Here is a 20,388-nt window from a genome sequence, read left to right as displayed (position 1 = left end):
AGCTCCTCTGACTCAGACCCTCCTGCCCTCCTCTTATAAAGACCCTGTGATTACACTGGGCCCACCCAGGTCATCCAGAGTCATCTTTCCATCTCAAGATCCTTCACTTTACACCAGCAAAGCGCCTTTGCAATGGACATACACACAGGGCCCAGGGGTTTTAATGTGGACACATATGGGGGGCCCTTGTTCAGCCCCCTATGGAAGGTGGTTGTTGATTTTCAGTAGGATGGTCAGGGAAGACCCTGCTGAGAAGCCACCATTTGAGCCAAGACTGGAGGAGCTGAGGCTGCGGGCCAGGATGACATCGAGGGTGGAGCCTTCCAGGCAAAAAAACAGTGAGTACAAAGCCAGCAACAGGTGTGCTGGCATGTTCCCGGAAAACCGGGGAGGGAGCCACAGCTGCGGCCGAGTGAGGAGAGGAGCAGCGGGAGGTGAGGCCAGAGAAGCCTTGGAGGCAGAAGCTGCGGGCCTCATGGTTATCATGAAGCTCCGGGTTTTACTCTGAGTACGCGGGAGCCATGGAGAGTTCTGAGCAGAGGAAGCACAGGACCTGACCTGGGTTTCACAGGCTTCCTCTGGCTGCTGTGTGGAAAATAGGTAAATAGGGCAAGAGTGGAAGAAGGGAGGCCTGTCGGGAAGCTTTTGCACAATGGCCCGGGTGAGAAAGACTCATGGCTTGGAGCAGATGCTGGGATGTGTCCCCCACATCCCCTTTCAGGAGCAGGCACGCATGCCCCACTGCCCAGGGGGTTGCCTGCTGAGAGCTCACAGCTGAGACCCTCCCCAGAAAATGCCCCTGGCTGACAGGAGCTGCTTTGCCCAGTCACCCTTCCTGGGGTCCCTCCATCTCCAAAGACTAGTAGTAAACACAGGGGTCTAAAGGTCCAGCCCCTTGACTCAATTCTTCGCAGTTCTGAAGGGCCGTCTTCACTGCAGACTTCCTCGAAGGATGGATTGCAAAGTCATGTGTAGAGTGTGCAGGGCTCGGGTGAATGTCTATATGTCTCTCTATATTTTAGGATCGCTGTCTACATTAGCAATTTGTTTAAAAATATATTTCAAAATTCCTGTGCCCACGTGAGGTCTAGTGATTTATCCATGAAGGTATAGAATAACGGATAGAGAAGGGATACTTATGTGGTTTGTTGTCCGACAGATCGTGTGAAAGTTTTTCGTCATGTCCAGGCACCACCTCTTCCCGGTCAGGCCCACGTTACATACGAGGACAATGGAACAAGTCAAAGGCAAAGCAACACGTCCCCCTGTAAAAACTGTCAGTGTAACCGTCCACTTCCGTATCTGTCCAGTCACTTAACAAACATTGACGGACCACCTTTAAACACAGGCTGCTGTGCTGGTGTCTGGGACACAGCGGTGAGTAAGAGCCATCTGATCTCATGACACTCTCAGGAAGTTCCAGTCTATGAGGATGGACAGCATGCAGGTCAACACATAAACATCATTCAGACTGTGAAAAATACAACAAAGGACACAGATTGGGAGATGGGATAAAGAGTCATGGGGGTGGAGCTACTGTCTCATTTTGGGTGGTCTGGGAAGGCCTCTCTGAGGAGGTGACATGTGGGCTGAGTCCTGAAGGATAAGAAGGGGCTGCCATGGGTGATTTGAGGGAACAGTGTGCTAGGTGGGAGGAACAGCAAGTGCTAAGGCCAGAGATCAGGCAGATCAGAGATGAGGCCAGGGTATCTAAGAAGTCAGGAGAGTGCTAAGAGATGGGGATGCAGAGACACTGTCAGGTGAAAAAGAAAGAGAAGGGAGCCAGGTGTGGTGGCTGACACCTATAATCCCAGCACTTTGGGAGGCAGAGGTGGGCAGGTTGCTTGAGCCCAGGAGTTTGAGATCAGCCTGGACAACGTGGCCAGACCTCATGTCTAAAAAAAAAAAAAAAAAAAAAAAAAAAAAAACAGACGTGGCACATGCCTGAGGTCCCAGCTACTGAGGAGGCAGGAGGATCATCTGAGCCTGGAAGGTTGAGGCTGCAGTGAGTCAAGATCATGCCCCTGTAATCCAGCCTGGGTGGGTGACAGAACAAGAACCTGTGTCAAAAAAAAAAAAAGAAAAGAAAAGAAAAAAAGGAAAGGGAAGAGAATTGTCACATTTTATTGCGACGACAGTGTTTTGTTTATTTAAAATATTTTCTCTCCCCTTTGAGTCCAGCCTGACACTCAGGAGATGGGGAGAGCCTTCCTCTCACTCCGCCTCAGGAGGAGCTCGAACCTGCTCCCTTAAATCTCCATCAGCTCCGCAAGCACTTGGGCTCTGCTGGCTGTAACGCTGCTCCCTGTTTACCAGAGGCTTTTGCTGGCACATGTATCACTCAGACTCTGAACTAGATCAAGCCACAGAAAACTTCGATTCATGGAGCTGCTGGTCCCCATTACCACAAGATATGCATTCTTTCTCTTTGATAAGGAATTAAGGTGCCATATTCAAACTTTAATCTGTAAATACAGGTAAATAAAACATGATTACAGAAATCATTTTCAATAAAAATCCATCTTGAGCTTAAGTTTCTGCCTTACTGAATTCAACTTTTGAGAGTGGGTGGTTGTGCCTGCTGCAGATAATTGTGACCCTGAATAGCTGGAACTGTGTTCACTGTGAACCAATGTTTCCTCTGAGAGCCCCAAAGACCCTGAGTGTGAATCGCTTGAGTGGGTGGGGTCTCTTACCCTGTGAGTCCTCCCACCAGGGGCCCCATCCTTCCACCCATCTTTCCTCGGGCCTGTTTCCCTTGAGGTCTGAGCTGGGGTGCCCAGTGAGGGGTCATCCTTGCTGTGAGATAAAACCGAGGTGTGACTCCCCATCTCCATGCAGGGCCCTAGAGGGTGTGCGCAGCTTCAACCATCTGATCAAGGGTGGATTCAACTCCCTGCTCAGGGCAGCAGCTCGTGGTTCATTCAGCTCCAGCGACGTCTCGATGGGGATAAGGTAAGGGGCACAGAGAACCAAAGATTGGGTCTGATGGGATTAAACCCCCAACTGGTGTCCCTGTGTCTTCTCTTTCCTGACACCAGACGCCAAGAAGAAAGAGCCACAAACACACCTGTCAGTGAATTCCAAAGGGTGAGCTGGGGGCCAGGCGGCCTCTGAAGTCTCCACATGGGTTTTGAGCTTTTGCTTTTTTGAAGCAGCAAATCTGCTCTGGGCTAGGAATTGGTGTTTGCTAAATGCACAGGTGGTCTGGAGTGATGTTTTCCTTCTTTAGCAAAGTAACACATGCTCCTTACAGAGAGTTAGACATGCAAAGAGGCAGGCATGTTTTTTAAGGATAAGTTAAACATTCAACAGGTTCTCGGGCACTGAATGAAAGGTGTCCCCGCAAGTCAGCCCCTCAGCCCCCCAGTTTCTTCTTGGAGAAGCCAGTGCAGGGCTCCGCGTTGGGGGCCAGTGGGTAGGAGGCTATCTCAAGACACCAGGAGGCGATTAGAGGGTCTCAGTCCATTTTGATACCTGTGCTCGGGGGTTGTTGGCTTGGACTGGACTCCTGGCAGCACCCAGTGAGAAAGGGACAAATCAGGCTGTGACTCTGGCCGTTTTCTCCTCTGCGACTATGATTCCTTTGCTGCACCCCCTCTTTCTGGCCCATCCACAGAGCACAGACCTGTCCTTGCTGGCTGACATTTCCCTGCTCCCTGAGGCCTGGTGTGTACCCTGGGGATGCTCAGAGAGTGTCCCTGGATTGATTTCAGGGCCCTCACTTCTTGGAGGAGATGTCATTCCCTGCAGAGCTCCATTCACCTGCTCTGAGCACTCCTCATCCTGCCCAAGGACGTGCTCTCTGGTTTGGCTGGAAAGAATGACCCCACCATGCCAACTCTGGGATTCAGGCAAATCAGAGCTGCTCAGCCCAGGCTGCGTTGTCCAGCTGGCCCAGGTGTTTGTACTGAAACACAGCTGTGTGCCCACTGGTTGGTGCAGAGATGCTGTCTCTATCCCTATGGAGACCCCGTACTGGCACCCCAAGATACAGCAGCACAAGGGGCACAATTGCTGGCCCAGCAGAAACCTGAGGACCCCACACTCGAGCTACGGTCAGTGTCCACGATGACTGGCCAGCCACCAAGTGAACAAGGACAGAGGCGTGGGCAGACGTGCTGTGGCCTCTCAGTACTGGGTGTGTGAGTGGCCAGAGAGGGGGTCTAGATGCCCCAGGTGTCTTCACACCCAGACCAGGGTTTGCCAGACCCTGATGGCCCTGAGAGTCCTGACCAGACCCCCGAAGGCCAACCCAACATGCTGGGAATGACCATCGGTGCCAAGCGGGCCTTGGACAGCTGGGGAAGGGCTGTCACCTCAAATGTCCCACTACCTGGCTCCTCCTCTTTCCTCAGGGACCCGAATCTGCCCGCTGGGCACAGGTCCTCACACAAAGGCTGGTCCAGGAAAAACAGGACCACATTGCCAGGCGGCCTGTCCTTCCCCTCCCCACAATCTGTGCTCTAATTACAGAAATGACGGGCTCATGGCCAGAGACGCCAAGTAACAGAGAAAGAGAATAAAGTAGAAAATAAGAATCATTCCCCAACCTACCCCCACACGGAGCTGCGTTTTAAATAACTAAGCTCCTTGATTGTGTCTGTGTGGAGGCCTGAGTTCCTATAACCGAGGCTGTTTTCTCTTTTTTTTTTTTTTTTTTTTTTGAGACAGAGTCTCACTTTCTCACCCAGGCTGGAGTGCAGCTGCCCGATATTGTGACCTCTACCTCCTGGGTTCAAGTGATTCTTGTGCCTCAGCTGGGCACCACCATGCCTGCTCATTTTTGTATTTTTAGTAGAGACGGGGGTTTCACCATGTTGGCCAGGCTGGTCTAGAACTCCTGACCTCAGGTCATCTGCCCACCTCAGCCTCCCAAACTGCTGGGATTACAGGCATGAGCCACCGTGCCCGGCCTTGTCTGTTTTCTCTTCATGAGTGCCCGGTGTCAACGGGAGAAGCAGCACTGGCCTGAGCCTCTAAGCCAAAGCGTCCGGGCACAGCTGGGGACAGGCAACATGGACCCGGTCACTGTGGTCCTAATGGTAGATTGTGGTCCTGTTGGCATAGGCGGCTCATCACGATTTCACCTGTAGCTGCTTTATGGAAGGTCTGAATTGGATAGGAGCAGAAAACAGCTTCATTGTTCTCTAGCCGCTGCATTCCAGCAGCTTCTGTGAGGCAGGGGCCAGATTAGGGTGAGTGAGTGAGGCCAAGTCATGCAAATACAGGGTCAAATTGTGTCTTAGTTGAAATGTTGATAACTTTCCCATTAGGGTTTTTTTTTTTTTTTTTTGCATTGAATTTAACTTTTGAAAAAAATTCTGCACTAAAATATTATTTATTTTGATCCGTGAATTTTTTGGTGCCCCCTTAAATTTTATGCCTCATTTGCTGCATCCTGATAATCCAGAGATGAGCGCCTCCCTCCCCTGCCTCGCCCTAGTCCCCATCCTGCTGATAGGTCTCTGGTCTCTGCTCCTTGATGACATCTGGGGAAGTTTTCCTAGGATTTTGGTCACCTTGATTTATAATAGCAGACTTGCTAATAATGAGTGGAATATGGCCAGGCGCCGGCTCATGTCTGTAATCCCAGCACTTTGGGAGGCCAAGGTGGGCAGATCACTTGAGGTCAGGAGTTCGAGACCAGCATGGTCAACATGGTGAAACCCTGTCTCTACTGAAAATACAAAGATTAGCTGGGCCTAGTGATGGGTGCCCGTAATCCCAGCTACTCAGGAGGCTGAGGCAGGAGAATCACTTGAACCTGGGAGGCGGAGGCTGCAGTGAGCTGAGATCATGCCACTGCACTCCAGCCTGGGAGACAGAGCAAGACTCTGTCTCAAAAAAAACAAAAACAAAAATGAATGGAATAGCTCATGTTTCGGTGTTACAAAATCCAGGCCAGACAAGTCTCAACTTTAATCTCACGCCCAGTTCCTAGGTTAGTCCCTTCTCCAGCTCAAATTCAGCCTAAGCCTCAGGGGTCCTTGGTCGGGGTGGCACCACCTGCTCCCTTCCCCAACTTTGTTCCTGTTTTTAATCTGCTGGGGCTGGGTGCATTCAGAGGTAGGGACAGGCTGAAGGTCTTCAGCTTTTTGGTTCTGTTGATGGGTGAGTTCCAAATACTAGCTTTCTCTTGTAGGATATTTCATTTATTTGTTAAAAATATTTATTTAGAACACACCATTCATGTGCCAGACGCTATTCCAGCCACTGGGGATAGGGTGATAAATGAGATAAACAAAAATACTCGCCCACGTTAAGCTCCTATTCTAGGGAAGAGAGGAAAAAAAAGAAAATACATGTGTACTTAGTACATTAGAAGGTTCCAAGTACTGTTAAAAAAAATAAAGCAGGCTGGACTCAGTGACTCATGTCTGCAATCCCAGCATTTTGGGAGGCAGAGGTGGGCAGATTGCTTGAGCTCAGGAGTTCGAGACCAGCCTGGGCAACACAACAAAACCCCGTCTCTACAAAACAAAAACAAAACATTTAGCTGGGTGTGGTGGCATGTGCCTGTCATCCCAGCTACTGAGGAGGCTGAAGTGGGAGGACTGCTTGAGCCTGGGATGCAGAGGTTGGAGTAAGCCAAGATCACAACATTGCACTCCAGCCTGGGTGACAGAGTCAGACCCTGTCTCAAAGAAAAAAAAAAAAAAAAAACAGGAAAAAGAAAGCAGAGATGGGGACTAGTGGGGAGGGGGCTGGGGATGAGAGCCTCCCTGAGCTTCCACAGTTCTTCCTGCTCCTCTCCTATCTCACTGGGCACGGGCCACCTGGGGCTTCTGGTTGTTTTGTGCCAACTTAATATGTTGTTCTTGCCAACAGTCAGAGGCCAACTGAGGCTTCTCTGTCTTCCACAAGGAACAGCATTGGCCTAAACCTGCAGGCACCATTGCAAAGGGGAGTCAGCTCAGGTAAACCCGCTGGTGAAACATGATTCCAGCGTGGGGACACAGAGGCTGATGTATCTTGCTGTAGGTGATTTAATGTTGGGCCTCACTATTTCACTACCCCTGTAAGAGTATGACACATCCACGTCCTTACCAGGGCCCGAGGGAGGGTGGATAGACTTATCCATCCCATAGGTATTGCTCGTGGCTGGGTAACTTGCTTATGCCAACAAGATTTTTTCATAGACACGGCACAGGCAGAAGCCTGGAATGTGTTGGCACTGCCAGGCCTGCCCTCTAATGCTCTTGATTTTTCCCACGAGACGAGCGTGCCCCAGGGAACTTCGGCTCCAGCTGCAGGATGAGAGGCGTGTGGAGCACGCAGGGTTCCAACCCTCAGCCTGGAGTCAAGCCCAGACTAGATCAGCCTAAGCCCAGCCAAGCCACAGGTGCAGGAGTGAAAAGCAAATGCTAACTGTCCATGACATTGACTTTCAAAGGGGCATGTCATGTTATGTGGCTCATCCCAGCAACAATGAAGATATTTCTCCATCAGTCAGTCGGTGAATAATTATTGACAATGTGCTAGGAAGGTGGAGTGATTGGAGTAGATTTGGTCCCTATTCTCATGGAGCTTACTTTCTAGAGGGGAAGACAGATGATAGGTGAATAAATATAAATTATTCTATTAGGTTGATGCAGCAGTAATTCCGGCTTTTGCCAGTAAAGGTAATGGCAATCAAAAGCGGGAGGAGCCGGAGCTGCCATTCATTAAAAGCAATGACAAAACTGTGATGACTTTTGCACCAACCTAATAGAATAAATTACGAGTGCGCAAAACGCTGTGATGGGAAAGTTCCAAGTGCCAGGATAGCATCTAGCTTCCTGGAGTCAGGAGATGGGGGTTTTCAACCTGAGCAAGGTTAAGTCCAAGTGGTGGGGGCAGGCGGGGGGCGATATTTCAGGGGAGACTCCAAGGATGAACGGAAATTAGAAAAGTGAACGCAGATGGTGAGGGGGGAAGGGTTTCAGGCACAGAGAACAGCATGTGCAAAGGCCTGGGGGGAGGACTTCGTGTGTTCATGGACTGAGGGGCAGCCAGCAGGCTGGAGCTGAGCCGGTGGAGAGGAGGATGGGGAGCCGGGGAAAGGCGCTCCACGCAGGGGGCACAGCAGGGGCAAAGGCCCGGAGTCAGGCCTGAACCTGTGTGGTTTGAGGAAGTGACAGAGGCCTGTCTGGGAGGAAAGTAACAGCAGAGGGGAGACCATAAGGTCAGGGCAGAGGGCAGGGCCGTGCTGGGCACTGTGGGCTGTGGATAGGACCTGGCACGTATGCTCGGGTGAGGGGAACGTGTTAGAAGATTTTAAGAAGGGCAGGAACATCTGGGGATAATGTGTATTCTAGGAATCTCAACCAAGTAAATTCATAGTTTGAATGTTCACAAGACTTCTGCACAGGCAAAGTGAAAGATCGTTTCTAGAGCTGTGAGATAAGATCATAGTAAAAAAGAACTACTAAGTTTTTAAAGGTTATTTCAAATGATGGATTTCCATCTTACAAATGAATGCAAGCAGGTTGCAAGGTTGATGGAAAGTAGAAAAGTTTTCTGACTTGCGTGAACAGAAAAGAAACATCAATTTGAAAGGAAAACATTTATTTATTTACTTCCTCTACAGTTTTCCTGACTGCTACATTTCATGAGAAGGGATTGTTTATGAGGGTCAAGGAGCTGGAGGCCTGGGGAGGAGCTGGTGTTTCTGTTCAAGTTTGAGGGTCCTGGAGCTGGAGTCCAGGGGAGGAGCCGGTGCTGCCACTGATGTCTTAGGGTCGTGGAGCTGAAGATCCCAGAGGAGCCGGTGCTGCTATTCTAGCTTGAGTTTCGTGGAGCTGGAGACCCAGGGAGAAGATGGTGCTGCTGTTCTAATTTAAGGATCGTGAAACAGAAGACCCAGGGAGGAGCCATGTTGGTTTGAATGTTGTGGATCTGGAGATCCACGGAGGAGCTGGTGCTGCCTTTGAAGTCTGAGAGTCACTTAGCTGGAGATCCAGAGAGGAACCGGTGTTGCTGTTCTAGTCTGAACAGATCTAGAGTTCTGGGGAGTTGCCGGTTCTGCCTCTCAAGTCTGAGAGTTGTTGAGCTGGAGATTCAGGGAGGAGCCTGTGTTGCTGTTTTAGTTTGAGGGTCATGGAGCTGCAGACTCAGGGAGGAGGGGTGCGGTTCTAGTCTGAGGGTTGTGGAGCTTGAGACACAGGGAGGAGCTGGTGCTGCTGTTGTTTAAGGCTGAGGGTTGTGGTGCTGGAGACCCAGGTAAGAGCTGGTGCTGCTGTTGTTTAAGGCTGAGGGTTGTGTAGCTGGAGAGTGGGGAGGAGGTAGTCTTAGTGTCTAATGTGAGGTTGGTGGAGCTGTGGACCTGGGGTGGGGCCGGTGCTACTGTGTAGTTTGAGGGTCATGGAACTGGAGACCTAGGGAGGAGCTGGTGCTACCACCATTTAAGTCAGAGGGTCATGGATTTGGAGCTTTGGGGAACAGCCCATGCTGCTGTTTAACTGTGGGGAGGATCTGCTGTGTCCGTTGAAGTTTGAGGGTTTGGGAGCTGGAGACCCAGGGAGGAGCTGATGATGCCATTCTATTTTGAGGGTCGTGGATCTGGGGACCTGGGGAGAGGCTGGTACTGCTGTTGTAGTTTGAGGTTCGTGGAACTGGAGACAGGGGGAGGAGCCGGTGGTGCTGTTCATGTCTGAGGGTTGTAGAGCTGGAGACCCAGGGAGAAGCCCGTACTACAGCTTTTTAAGTCTGAGGGTCGTGGAGCCTGAGACCTGGGGAGGGGCCAGTGCTGCTGTTCAAATGGCTCCTTTCCGGGTCTCCAGCTCCATGACCTTCAAACTAGGAGAGCAGCAGCAGCTCCTCCCGCGGTCTTCCAGCTCCATGACCCTCACACTAGAACAGCAGCAGCAGCTCCTCCCGGGGTCTTCCAGCTCCATGACCCTCACACTAGAACAGCAGCACCGGCTCCACCCTGGGTCTCCAGATCCACGACCCTCAAAGTAGAACAGCAGCACTGACTCCTCCCCGGGTCTCCAGCTCTACAACCCTCAGACTTGAGGAGCTGGAGACTCGGGGAGGAGCCAGGGCTGCTTTTCTACTTTGAGGGTTGTGGAGCTGGAGACCCAAGATGCAGCAGCTGCTGCTATTCTAGTTTGAGGGCCTTGGAGCCAGAAACTTTGTGAGGAGCCGGTGCTGCCTTTCAAATCTGAGAGTCATTGAGCTGGAGACCCAGGGAGGAACCGGTGTTGCTGTTCTAGCCTGACAGTAGTGAAGCTGGAGACCCAAGGAGGAGCCGGTGCTATTGTTCATGTCTGAGGATTGTGTAGCTGGAGACCCAGGGAGGAGTCGGAGCTGCTGATCTAGTTTGAAGGCTGTGGAGCTGCAGATCCCAGGAAGAGCCGGTGCTGCCGTTCAAATCTGTGGGTCTTGGAGTTGGAGCCCTGGGGTGACCCAGTTCTTTCATTCATGTCTTAGGATCATGGAACTGGAAACCTACGGAGGCGGCGGTACTGCTGTTCTAGTTTAAGGATCGTGAAGCTGGAGACCTGGACAGGAGCTGGTGCTACCGCTGTTCAAATCTGAGGGTCATGGAGCTGGAGTCTTGGGGAGGTGCCGGTGCTGCCTCTCAAGTCTGAGGGTTGTTGAGCTGGAGATTCAGGGAGGAGCCGGTGTTGCTGTTGTTGTTGGAGGATTGTGGAGCTGGAGGCCAAAGAGGAGCTGGTGTTGCAGTTCAATTTTGACGGTCGTGTAGCTGGAGACCTAGGGAGGAGCTGGTGCTACCACTGTGTAAGTTGAGGTTTGCAGAGCTGGTGGCCACGGGGAAGAGCCAGTGCTATAGCTGAAGTTTGAGGGAACTGGAGACCCAGGGAGTAGCCGGTGCTGCTTTCTAGTTTGAGGGTTGTGGAGCTGGAGGCTTGGTGGGGAGCCGGTGCTGCCTCCCAAGTCTGAGAGTCATTGAGCTGGAGATCCACAGGGGAGCTGGTGCTGCTGTTGTAGTTTGAGGATTGTGGAGCTGGAGACCCGGGGCGGAGCTGGTGCTGCAGTTGGAGTTTGAGGGTCAGGGAGCTGGAGATCTGGGGAGCGGCCAGTACAGCTGTTTAAGCCTGAGGGTCGTGGAGCTAAACATGGAGCCAAAGTTGGGGAAGCAGAGAGAGAGAGTTACAGGATGACCCTGGAAATGGTAGACGTAGCTGTACCCCAAGCAAGCTAAGCTTGGGAACTCCTCAATGCTAGTGATGAATGCATTCTTTTTCCTCTTACACAGTTTGGATTTGTTTTCTGTGTCTCATGAGACAGAAAGATCTTGATTAATACCCTTAGGAATTGAAAAGCTTAAAAAACTAAAGGATGTTGGTAATAAAAATAATAAGAATTAAACCATGATTATCCTGGCTGACAGAGACAAAATCACACACACACAATATATATCTTTCAATCAGTTAGCAAAATTAAAAAAAATGGAAAAATAGACGCAAGCAAAGCTATAAAAAGTTGTTTCATGGAGAAGCGATGGAGGACAGCGATTAATCTGAGAGTTGCTATTAATGGAGAAACTGAGAACTTACCATTTTTCCCATGAGGTTTTGGTGTAGAATGATATTGTGTGAGTTCTGGCAGCTGAGTCACTTCACACAGCCCGGTGATGCAGTAGGTGTCACAGAAGGACCCTCTCCCAGTTAGTTCTGCCTCACTGCTCCGGTGAGTGCGGCCTCTGATCCCCAACAGCTGACTGTGTGTTGAGACCACGCCCATGAGCACAAGGGTTTCCACGGTGAAGGTTCCTGGATGGAACACTGTGGATGTCCCTAATGTTCCTTCCTGATGTTCATCTGCCATCTTGCTATTTAATGCAATGTCTTCTAAATATTGAATAGAAAAAAGTATTTGTACAATATGGGCAAGGTATAAAGAATATCCACACACTGGACACACAGACAGAGAGGGGCACCCACAGCAAACTCCCTTTGCCTGGGAGCAGGTGTGGTCCTTGAGTCCTATGTTGCCTGTTTCTTCCTCCGCCTTGGCCTACGGGCCCGATGTGATCTGACCTCTGCCTGCCTCTCCGACTCCATCCCCCCTCCCGCTCCTGTTCTTTCTAACAATTATGTTACAGCCTCAGTGAATGTGACAAGGACCCTGAATGACGGTGGCTTTACTAAGACAGAGGTTCATTCCTTTCACATGAAAGTCCAAGCCAGTCGGGTCATTCTTCTCTGTGCATTTTTCAGGGTCTTAGGCTACTTCCATCTTGCTGCTCTGACTTCCTTAGGGTATAGCTTCCCCCACAGTGTCCATCCTATCTACTGCCAGCCAGCAGGGAGGGGAGAAGAGAACAAGAGGACACAAATCTTCCTTCCTCTAATGGCAGTTGCTGTGCACTGGCCTCATGTGCATTGGTCACTGCCTGGTCACGTGGCCTCTGCTTGCTGCTAGGGGTGCTGGGAAGTTTTCATCCTGGATGCCAGTGCCCACCTGGGTGACTCCTGAGGTTGAGGGGAGAGAGGACATGAAAGAGAGTCACTGGCTCTTCCCACCATCATGCATGTCGTTCCAGTCTAGGGCGACCCACTGCCTCAGCTTGCTCAGGACTGAGGAGGGTCATGGGGCACAGACCTCTCAGTTTTATAACAGGGCAGTTTCAGGCAAATCATCCCAGCTTGGCTGAGACTCAGAATTTTCCTGGGATATGGGATTTCTAGTGTTAAAACTGAGAAAGTTCTGGGCAAACCTGGACAAGTTGGTGCCTGCCATGGGGCCTTTGCATCTACTGTTACCCCTGTCTGGGATTCCCTTTCTGCAGCTCTGTGTGGTGCTCACTCCTTTTCTGTTGAGGAAAGGCTGCTCTCTGGGTGTCCCCGGGTGCCTGTTCCGCTCTACTCAGCACTACATGCTCTGTGAATATCCCTCCATGCACTTCGTAGAATGAGATCTGTTCTTTCCACCCTTGCCTGCCCACTTCAGTTTCAAAGTCTCTGAGGATTATTCATTTTTATTCTCTTCAGCACTGAAAGATACATCTCTTTCCCTAAGGCTGTGGCTGGGTTCACGCATAGTTAGATAAATCTGATATTAATAATAACCCGAATGAAAAACATGTATTGAATCCCAAGATTATGATGTAGGAAGCACGGATTCTGAAGAGATGTCTAAGCCTAATAAAGGCCAAAGGGTGTGGATTAAAAGGAAATGTGGGGTGGAGAAACATTTCATGAAATAGAACCCCACCTCTTGGGTGAGTTCGTTGGTACAACTTTTCTAGAGGGCAATTTTGCAACTGGCCAATGAAGGTGCGTAACTTTTGGTCCCAAATTTCATTTATAGGCATTGATCCCTAGGAAATAGTCAGAAAAATATGCAAAGATGAATCTCAAGGATTTTTATAAGAAGAAAGAAGTAGGAAGCATAAATGCCCACTGGTGGTCCCACACCCTGGCACCAGTGCTCCCCTCTCCTAGTGGGCGGGCACAGGCTACATTTTCCCAGGCTTCCTTGCAGTGAGTTGTGGCCATGTGACCAGGTTCTGGCCAATGGGAGGCAATAAAAGTGTTGGGTGGTATTTTTGGAGACCCCCTTCTGTAACTTCTGTCTTGATATGGTTTGGATGTTGGTCCCCTCCAAATCTCATGTTGAAATGTGATCCCTGATGTTGGAGGTGGGGCCTGGTGGGAGGTGTTTTGGTGATGTGGGCAGATCCCTCTCACAATGGCTTGGTGCCATCCTGATGGCAATGACTGAATTCTTGCTCTGAGTTTATGGGAGATCTGGTTGTTTAAAGGGGTTGGCACATCCTCCTCCCTCTCTTGCTCTTTCTCTCGCCATGTGATGTACCTGCTTCCCTTTCACCTTCTGCCATGATTGGAAGCTTCCTGAGGCCTCCCCAGGAGCAGATGCTGGTGCCATGCTTGTACAGCCTGCAGAACTGTGAGCCAATTAAACCTCTCTTCTATAAATAACCAGCCTCAGGTATTCCTTTATAGCAACGCAGATGGACTGACACATATCTTTAATGTCATTTCTTAGTTGTTCCATCCTTTGACCTGCTTCCTGGAATAAGCGTATGATGGTTGGAGCTATTCTTGTCACCTTGAACCTTGAGGATTAGGCTTCTACCCTGCGGATAGCAGAATGTCCTCTGGAAGGAAATGAAAGTCCCTAACGCCACCCTAGACTGAGAACCTCCAGTTTTGTTTTTACTTTTTTATTTTTTGAGACAGACTCTTGCTCTGTTGCCCAGGCTGGAATGCAATGGCGTGATCTCAGCTCACTGCAACTTCCGCTTCCTGGGTTCAAGTGATTCTCATGCCTCAGCCTCCCGAATAGCTGGGATTACCGGTCCGTGCCACCATATTCAGCTAATTTTTTTTATTTTTAGTAGAGACAGGGTTTCACCATGTTGAGCAGGCTAGTCTCGAACTCATGACCTCAAGTGAAACACCTCAGCCTCCCAAAGTGCTGGGATTACAGGCGTGAGCCTCTGTGCCCGGCCCAGTCTTGGTTTTCATGAGATAAACTTCTGTCTTGGCTGAAGTTAAATCACTGATAGGTGATATGACCATAACTGGATAAAAAGTAGGAAATTCATGTAATACTTATATCTACATATGCCCATACCAAAAATGATAGTGATCTGTTGTTATCTATGTGTAAATATGGACACAAAATATTGTTTAGTGTAAACAAAGCTCTTCTTTTTTTTTTTTTTTTGAGACAGAGTCTCACTCTGTTGTGCAGGCTGGAGTGCAATGGTGAGATCTCGGCTCACTGCAACTTCCGCCTCCTGGGTTCAAACAATTCTCCTGCCTCAGCCTTCTGAGTAGCTGAGATTACAGGCACATGCACCACATCCAGCTATTTTTTTGTATTTTTAGTAGAGCTAGGGTTTCACCATGTTGTCCAAGCTGGTCTCAAACTCCTGACCTTCAGTGATCTGCCTGTGTTTACAGGCATGAACCACTGCACCTGGCCCATAAAGCTGTATTCTATTTTAATGAAGCAAAAATGCATAAGTGTGTAAGTGTGATCATATGTGTGTGTATGTCTAACAGGAGCACTACATAGCAAAATGCGAATGCTGCTTATCTTTGGTGTTGGTATCACGTGTGATTTAAAATCTTGTTTTCTTCTATTTTTAAAAACTTTCAAAATGAGTCATGACTTTGATTATTAGAAAAGAAATCTATAACAATTGAGAGGAAAGAAAACCCCACCTGTTGTTGAAACTGGCTGGAGCTGGGAGAAATGAGAGATTCCTTTGCAGGTGTCACCTCCCTACCAGAAAACTGGCCTTGCAGGAATGTCCCACAAGCCAGATGTGTCTCTTTCCCCCAGTCCCTGTGCCTGGTGTGAGGTCGTACAGACAGTGAGCGTCCTTCACAGAGTCTGACCTGCCAAGGTAGGGGGGAAGTGGGGGTTTAGTGACATTCAAAACCCGGGGGAGCCGAACAGGTGTGACTGTATGTTTGCAGGGTGACCTCTCCCCTCAAAGAGCAAGAAATAACTCTAGTGCAATTTCCAAACATTTACAAGAGAGGATTTTTAAACTTTTCACTTCTTTATTCCAAGTAGCACATTTGGAAGCACAAAATGCACAAAGAAGACCTGCTATTTACAATCACTTTCACTAAGCCAGTGTTATATTCAAAAACAGCAGATAAAGCTCATGGCTTTGATGAAAGGGGCAGTCTTTTCATTGGAAACAATTAATACTGCTCCCCGTTCTGGGGAGAATTTAAAGAAAATAATTTGGAAGGGGATATGGCTTGATACAATCAAATGATTTCAGATCACAAATGTAATCATTTGATCTTGCTTTAAAACCAAACATTTCAGAACAATCTGGCATCACATTCTCTTCTGAGTCTGTGAAACTCTGAATTCTGGGTGAGTTTGAATTCCCAAGGCAGGACTGAGGATAGAAAAGATTTGATGGCAGAAACCTGGTACTGTGGTTATCACGTGGGTTAAAGATGTAGGCTTGGTTAACCCACTGAACCTGCTTATGTATGAGGCTCACCTGAGAAGGTGATATGGACAAGCCCATCTTATGGGTCTGAGGGCTCTTCACCAGGAGTGGAGCAAGGAGGATGGCCCCAGCGTCCCCGTCTCTGAACACGTTTAGCGGGAGGGCTGTAGAGCCTGGACAGATCACCACTGGCTCCATGGGGAACTTTCAGCAGCACTCATTGCCTGTGTCTGTTCTGTGCCAGGCACTGCGCTCAGGGCAGGGATTTGGGATTCACCAGGGCACAAGGCGACGTGCGTCTGTCCTCACGGAGCCTAAGTGCTGGTGGAGACGGACAGTGCAGATGCCAACCGCAAATGACGAGGCACTTGCAGGTAGGGGTCAGCGCCAAGAAGGAAATGAAGGGTGCGTGTCGCTGACTGAGACTCTGGTGGGGGCTACTTAAATAGGGCCATGGGGGAGGGCCTCTCTGAGGAGGTGACATTTGAGCTGAGGCCTCACCAATCAGAAGGAAAAAGCTGTAAAGGGTCTGGGATTAACTCAACCTGGGGACTTTTAAAATAATGTAAGGTGTTCCAGCTCTTTCAGAATTTGTCTAGCACGTTTTCCGGTTGTCACTCCCAGGTGGGCTCGGGAAGAGGCATCTGTGCCCAGCTCGTGGCCTGTTCTTTGTACTTGCGGGGAAGGGGTCCCCTTCTCCCACAGCCATCCCCCCGGGGCCTGCTCCCAGGTGGGGTCTGGTTTTCACCAGAAAGCCCTCCATGCAAAAACAACAACAACAAAAAAACACCACCACAAAATTGAATTTGAATTAGTTGCCAGCATTTACATTTTAATTCTAAAAATCTGTATTTTCGACTTCGTTGGAAAGTCAGACTATCTGGCCATGCTGGGCTGGGATCTGGTGGATTTTGGTATTTTGGTTTCTGGTTAGGGAGGGTATTTGGGGTTTGCCCCTCCAGCATGTGTTCCAGTGTGGAGTGGGGATGGGGGCAGGCTCAGTGGGGGGATCTGCAGTGGCCAAGGGTCTTGGCTGTCTCCAGATGGCCGGACGGACCCTGCCACCTCCTGCTTGGGGTGTGCTGGGGTTCTTTGCTGCCCCTCCTCCCAGCCCACATCCTCTTGAACTCCACGGAGACCACCTCCATGTGAGGCTGGGAAGGGAAACCTGCCTTTGTAAGTGGAATCAGGTGAAATCGGGCTGTGACTGTGTCAGTCAGAAACTAAAAGGCCCTGTCACACCCGTGGCCAGGAAGACTGTCACCACGGTGGCATGCAAATGACAGAGATGCGTGGGACAGTGTCTACCAAGAGACGAGCCAGGTGAGGGCAGGTCGTCGTGAAGGAGGGAGGTGGGGTCCTCCCCACAGAGCAGCGCCATCCCACAGAGAAACGGCCTCTGGGGAGGGACGCGTTCCAAGGAGGCCCCGTGCAGTGCAGAGTGGGTGGCTCGAGGCCTGAATGCCGGGCACTCGGAGCGGTCAGTGTCCCCGTGGGAACAGGGCTGCTCGCAGCCAGGTGATTGGCAACCTTGGATGGTCAGCCCCTGTGTGCGTGTGAGGGGGTGGCCCTCTGCTCTGTCCCTTCTGAAGGCAGCTGTAAGGGCTGGGATCTAGTGGATTTTGGTATTTCGGTTTCTGGTTAGGGAGGGTATTTGGGGTTTGCCTCTCCAGGATCTGTCCCAGTGTGGAGTGGGGAGCAGCCATAAGGGATGGAGGCCAAAGCGCTCAGCATCAGACAAGCCTGGGCGAAGGTCCTACTTCCTGCCAGGCCAGTGCCTCTGAGCCTCAGTTTCCTCATCTGTATAGTGGGGTTAATCCCAACCATGTATACTGCCTGCCTGCCATGTGCCAGGCCCTTCTTACACATCTTTGATTGCTTGAGGGCAGGGACTTTATTATCCACCTTTAGAGTTGAGAAAGAAGAGGCATAGAAAGGTTAAACCACTTACCGGGGGTCACACAGCTGCTGTTGCAGAGTAAAGTCTCCAGACTCAAACAGAGCACTAAGCCCCGCCCTGCGCACCAACAGGTGCTCCAGGAATGTCAGGTGCCATTTATCACCCTCATCACCTGCTGGGAGTGCTCGTCCCATCATTCAAACCCCGTGAGCGTGAAGTGAGGGGACATATGCAGGATCGAGTGTACTGGCAGGTAACGTAAGTAAAGTAATAACCACAGGATGATATTCACAACCCATATTAGTGCTACCAACAGCCACATCTGCCTGCTTCTCTGGGCCCAGGATTGTCTGCAGGCTCCCAGGAGCTGGTCCTGACTGGGTCAGAAGAAAGGTCTGAGGTTATGAGAAGGAGTAGCTTGCCCAGCTCATGGCCTGTTTTGTACATTGGGAGTCCCTGTCCCCCACAGCTGTCCCCATGGGCCTACTCCCAGGTGGGCTTGGGAGACCCCAGAGCTGCGCGCCTTTAGGCCAGGGTTCTGCCGGGTGCTGTGTGTCTGTGGGGGTGACGCCCACCCCCCAACCCTCTTGCCCTGCCAGCTGCTGGACACACAGCAACTGCAGGGCATGAACTCTGAGACCAGGACCTCTGCAGGTCCTGGGAGGCAGAAGTTGCAGTGAACCAAGATTGCACCATTGCACTCCAGCCTGGGTGACAAAGCGAGACTCTGTCTCAAAAAAGAGAAACAGATATTTATATGAGACAGTCTGTAGAGGTTTGAAATGCAACATGATCCATCATGCGGAGATTTTTATAGAGAATTAATTGTTTCAGTTCAGTGTGAAGGGACTTAAACTCCTCTCTTCACTAGAATTTTCCAAACTGTTAAGGGGACATATGTAATTGTCACCTGCATCACATGCAATCAGGGGCCCATAAGAAGAAGTGAAACGTTCCTTTCTTACATGATTGTTTTTGGTGAATTGAGCAGTTTTGTATTCATCATTCAAAATGCACAGGCCAGGGGAATGCCCAATACTTCTGGCTGCCTACCCTCCCACTGCAACTAACGTAAGCAGGCAAGCAATGGCTGTTGATAAGGACACAACGGTCATCATCACATTTCAGGGGTTTTTGTTTGTGTTTGTGTGTGTGTGTGTGTGTGTGTGTGTGTGTGTGTGTGTGTATTTGTTTGTTTTGAGACGAAGTCTCACTCTGTTGCCCAGGCTGGAGTGCAGTAGCAAAATCTCAGCTCACTGCAACCTTAGCCTCCCAGGTTCAAGCAATTATTGTGCCTCAGTCTCCCCGAGTAGCTGGGATTACAGGTGCCCGCCACCACACCCAGCTAATTTATGTAATTTTAGTAGCGACGGGATTTCGCTATGTTGGCCAGGCTGGTCTTCAACTCATGGCCTCAAGTGATCTGCCCACTTCGGCCTCTCAAAGTGCTGGGATTACAGGTGTGAGCCAAAATTTCAGGGTTGTTTGTTTGTTTGTCTTTAAGACAGGCGCTCTCTCTGTTGCCCAGGCTGAATGCCGTGGTGTGATCATGGCCCACTGCAGCCTGAACCTCCTGGGCTCAAGCGATCCTCTTGCCTCGCTCTCCTGAGTAGCTGTGAATACAGGCGCATGCCACCATGCCCGGCTAATTTTTGTATTTTTTATAGAGATACGGCCTTGCCCTGTTGCCTGGGCTGGTCTCAAACTCCTGGGCTCAAGCGATCCGCCCACCTCGGCCTCCCAAAGTGTTGGAATTACAGACATTTCAGTGTTTTTAAAAAATCAAAAAAGCATGACTGGATACAATCAGGATTTCAGTAGAAGTAGAAAATATGGGAATGTCAGTGAGCAAATAAGTGCAGAGAGAACAGGGGATGAGAAGAGGAATGTGGGAAGATGGGAAGCGCTGGGCGGAGAAGAGGATGGGGACGGGCTGGGGATGAAGTCTGGAGTGCAAGCTACAGTCAGGAAACTGAAAGCTGCCCAAAGCATTAAGATTGCCCAAGCCAGAAGCACACGAGGCAGTTTTCAAGAGAGTAAGGAGCAAGAGATCATTAAACTCACTCACCAGGAGAGACAAGAGATGGTGGGAGTAATTTAATGAGAGAGGCCTTGACACTACAAAAAAATCTAAATTCATTCTTTGCCTGACTGTTCACAAGGGAGGAGGGGGAAGCGGTTGTCTTCAGAAAACATGATACATTTTTCTTAGGCAAAACTTACAGAGAGGAAGAGATGGGAAAAAGAAGCAACCGAGGTGATGGGAAATGGAGCTGATTTATTCTTGGTGTTGGAGCGGCAGTTTCTCTAACACAGATAAACTTTAAAAACCAGCTCAGACCCATCCCTTGAGCCCTCGCTTGTCCCTCTCCACAGGTCCCAGCCCGTTCAGAGTTTTCAAGGAAGCAGCTCCCAGGCTACTGCCACCTTCCTGGGACCTGTGAGCCCCTCATCACCCAAGCTGGCAGAATCCCTCCAACTCATGGCTCCGTGAAACCTGAGTGCCTGCCTCCGCTGACCAATTCCCTGGGTGGATTTTCTTCTGGTGGTCGGAAAACTGTATCAGTCTTTTCCAGATGTCTGG

At 50.1% G+C, this 20,388-nt stretch overlaps 1 long non-coding RNA gene and 1 pseudogene across 2 annotated transcripts, besides 3 other annotated features; both read left to right on the top strand.

Annotated features, from left to right (window-relative positions):
- The first annotated feature begins 247 nt into the window (after positions 1-247).
- Positions 248-2,533, top strand: LOC105372636 (uncharacterized). Of its 2 annotated transcripts, none has more exons than XR_936785.3 (3): positions 248-338; positions 1,160-1,377; positions 2,182-2,533. It is a non-coding gene; the product is annotated as an uncharacterized LOC105372636 (long non-coding RNA). The 2 variants fall into 2 exon arrangements; XR_936784.3 differs by lacking the exon at positions 248-338 and adding an exon at positions 412-600.
- Positions 1,305-1,505: a silencer, noted in NCBI's record as "peak4235 fragment used in MPRA reporter construct". NCBI's record gives its function as "represses an SCP1 promoter by STARR-seq MPRAs in K562 erythroleukemia cells {active_cell/tissue: K562}" and the evidence as "EXISTENCE:reporter gene assay evidence [ECO:0000049][PMID:32103011]".
- Positions 4,927-5,428: an enhancer, noted in NCBI's record as "H3K4me1 hESC enhancer chr20:46466833-46467334 (GRCh37/hg19 assembly coordinates)". NCBI's record gives its function as "activates a minimal SCP1, AML or CMV promoter by ChIP-STARR-seq in primed H9 embryonic stem cells {active_cell/tissue: H9 hESC(primed)}" and the evidence as "EXISTENCE:reporter gene assay evidence [ECO:0000049][PMID:30033119]".
- On the top strand, positions 16,473-16,548 carry RNU7-173P (RNA, U7 small nuclear 173 pseudogene; annotated as a pseudogene).
- Positions 16,723-17,423: an enhancer, noted in NCBI's record as "H3K4me1 hESC enhancer chr20:46454838-46455538 (GRCh37/hg19 assembly coordinates)". NCBI's record gives its function as "activates a minimal SCP1, AML or CMV promoter by ChIP-STARR-seq in naive H9 embryonic stem cells {active_cell/tissue: H9 hESC(naive)}" and the evidence as "EXISTENCE:reporter gene assay evidence [ECO:0000049][PMID:30033119]".

The sequence above is a fragment of the Homo sapiens genome, chromosome 20, assembly GCF_000001405.40.
Source record: "Homo sapiens chromosome 20, GRCh38.p14 Primary Assembly".
In the NCBI taxonomy this organism is placed as follows: Eukaryota; Metazoa; Chordata; class Mammalia; order Primates; family Hominidae; genus Homo; species Homo sapiens.
This window is presented reverse-complemented; position numbering and strand designations above follow the sequence as displayed.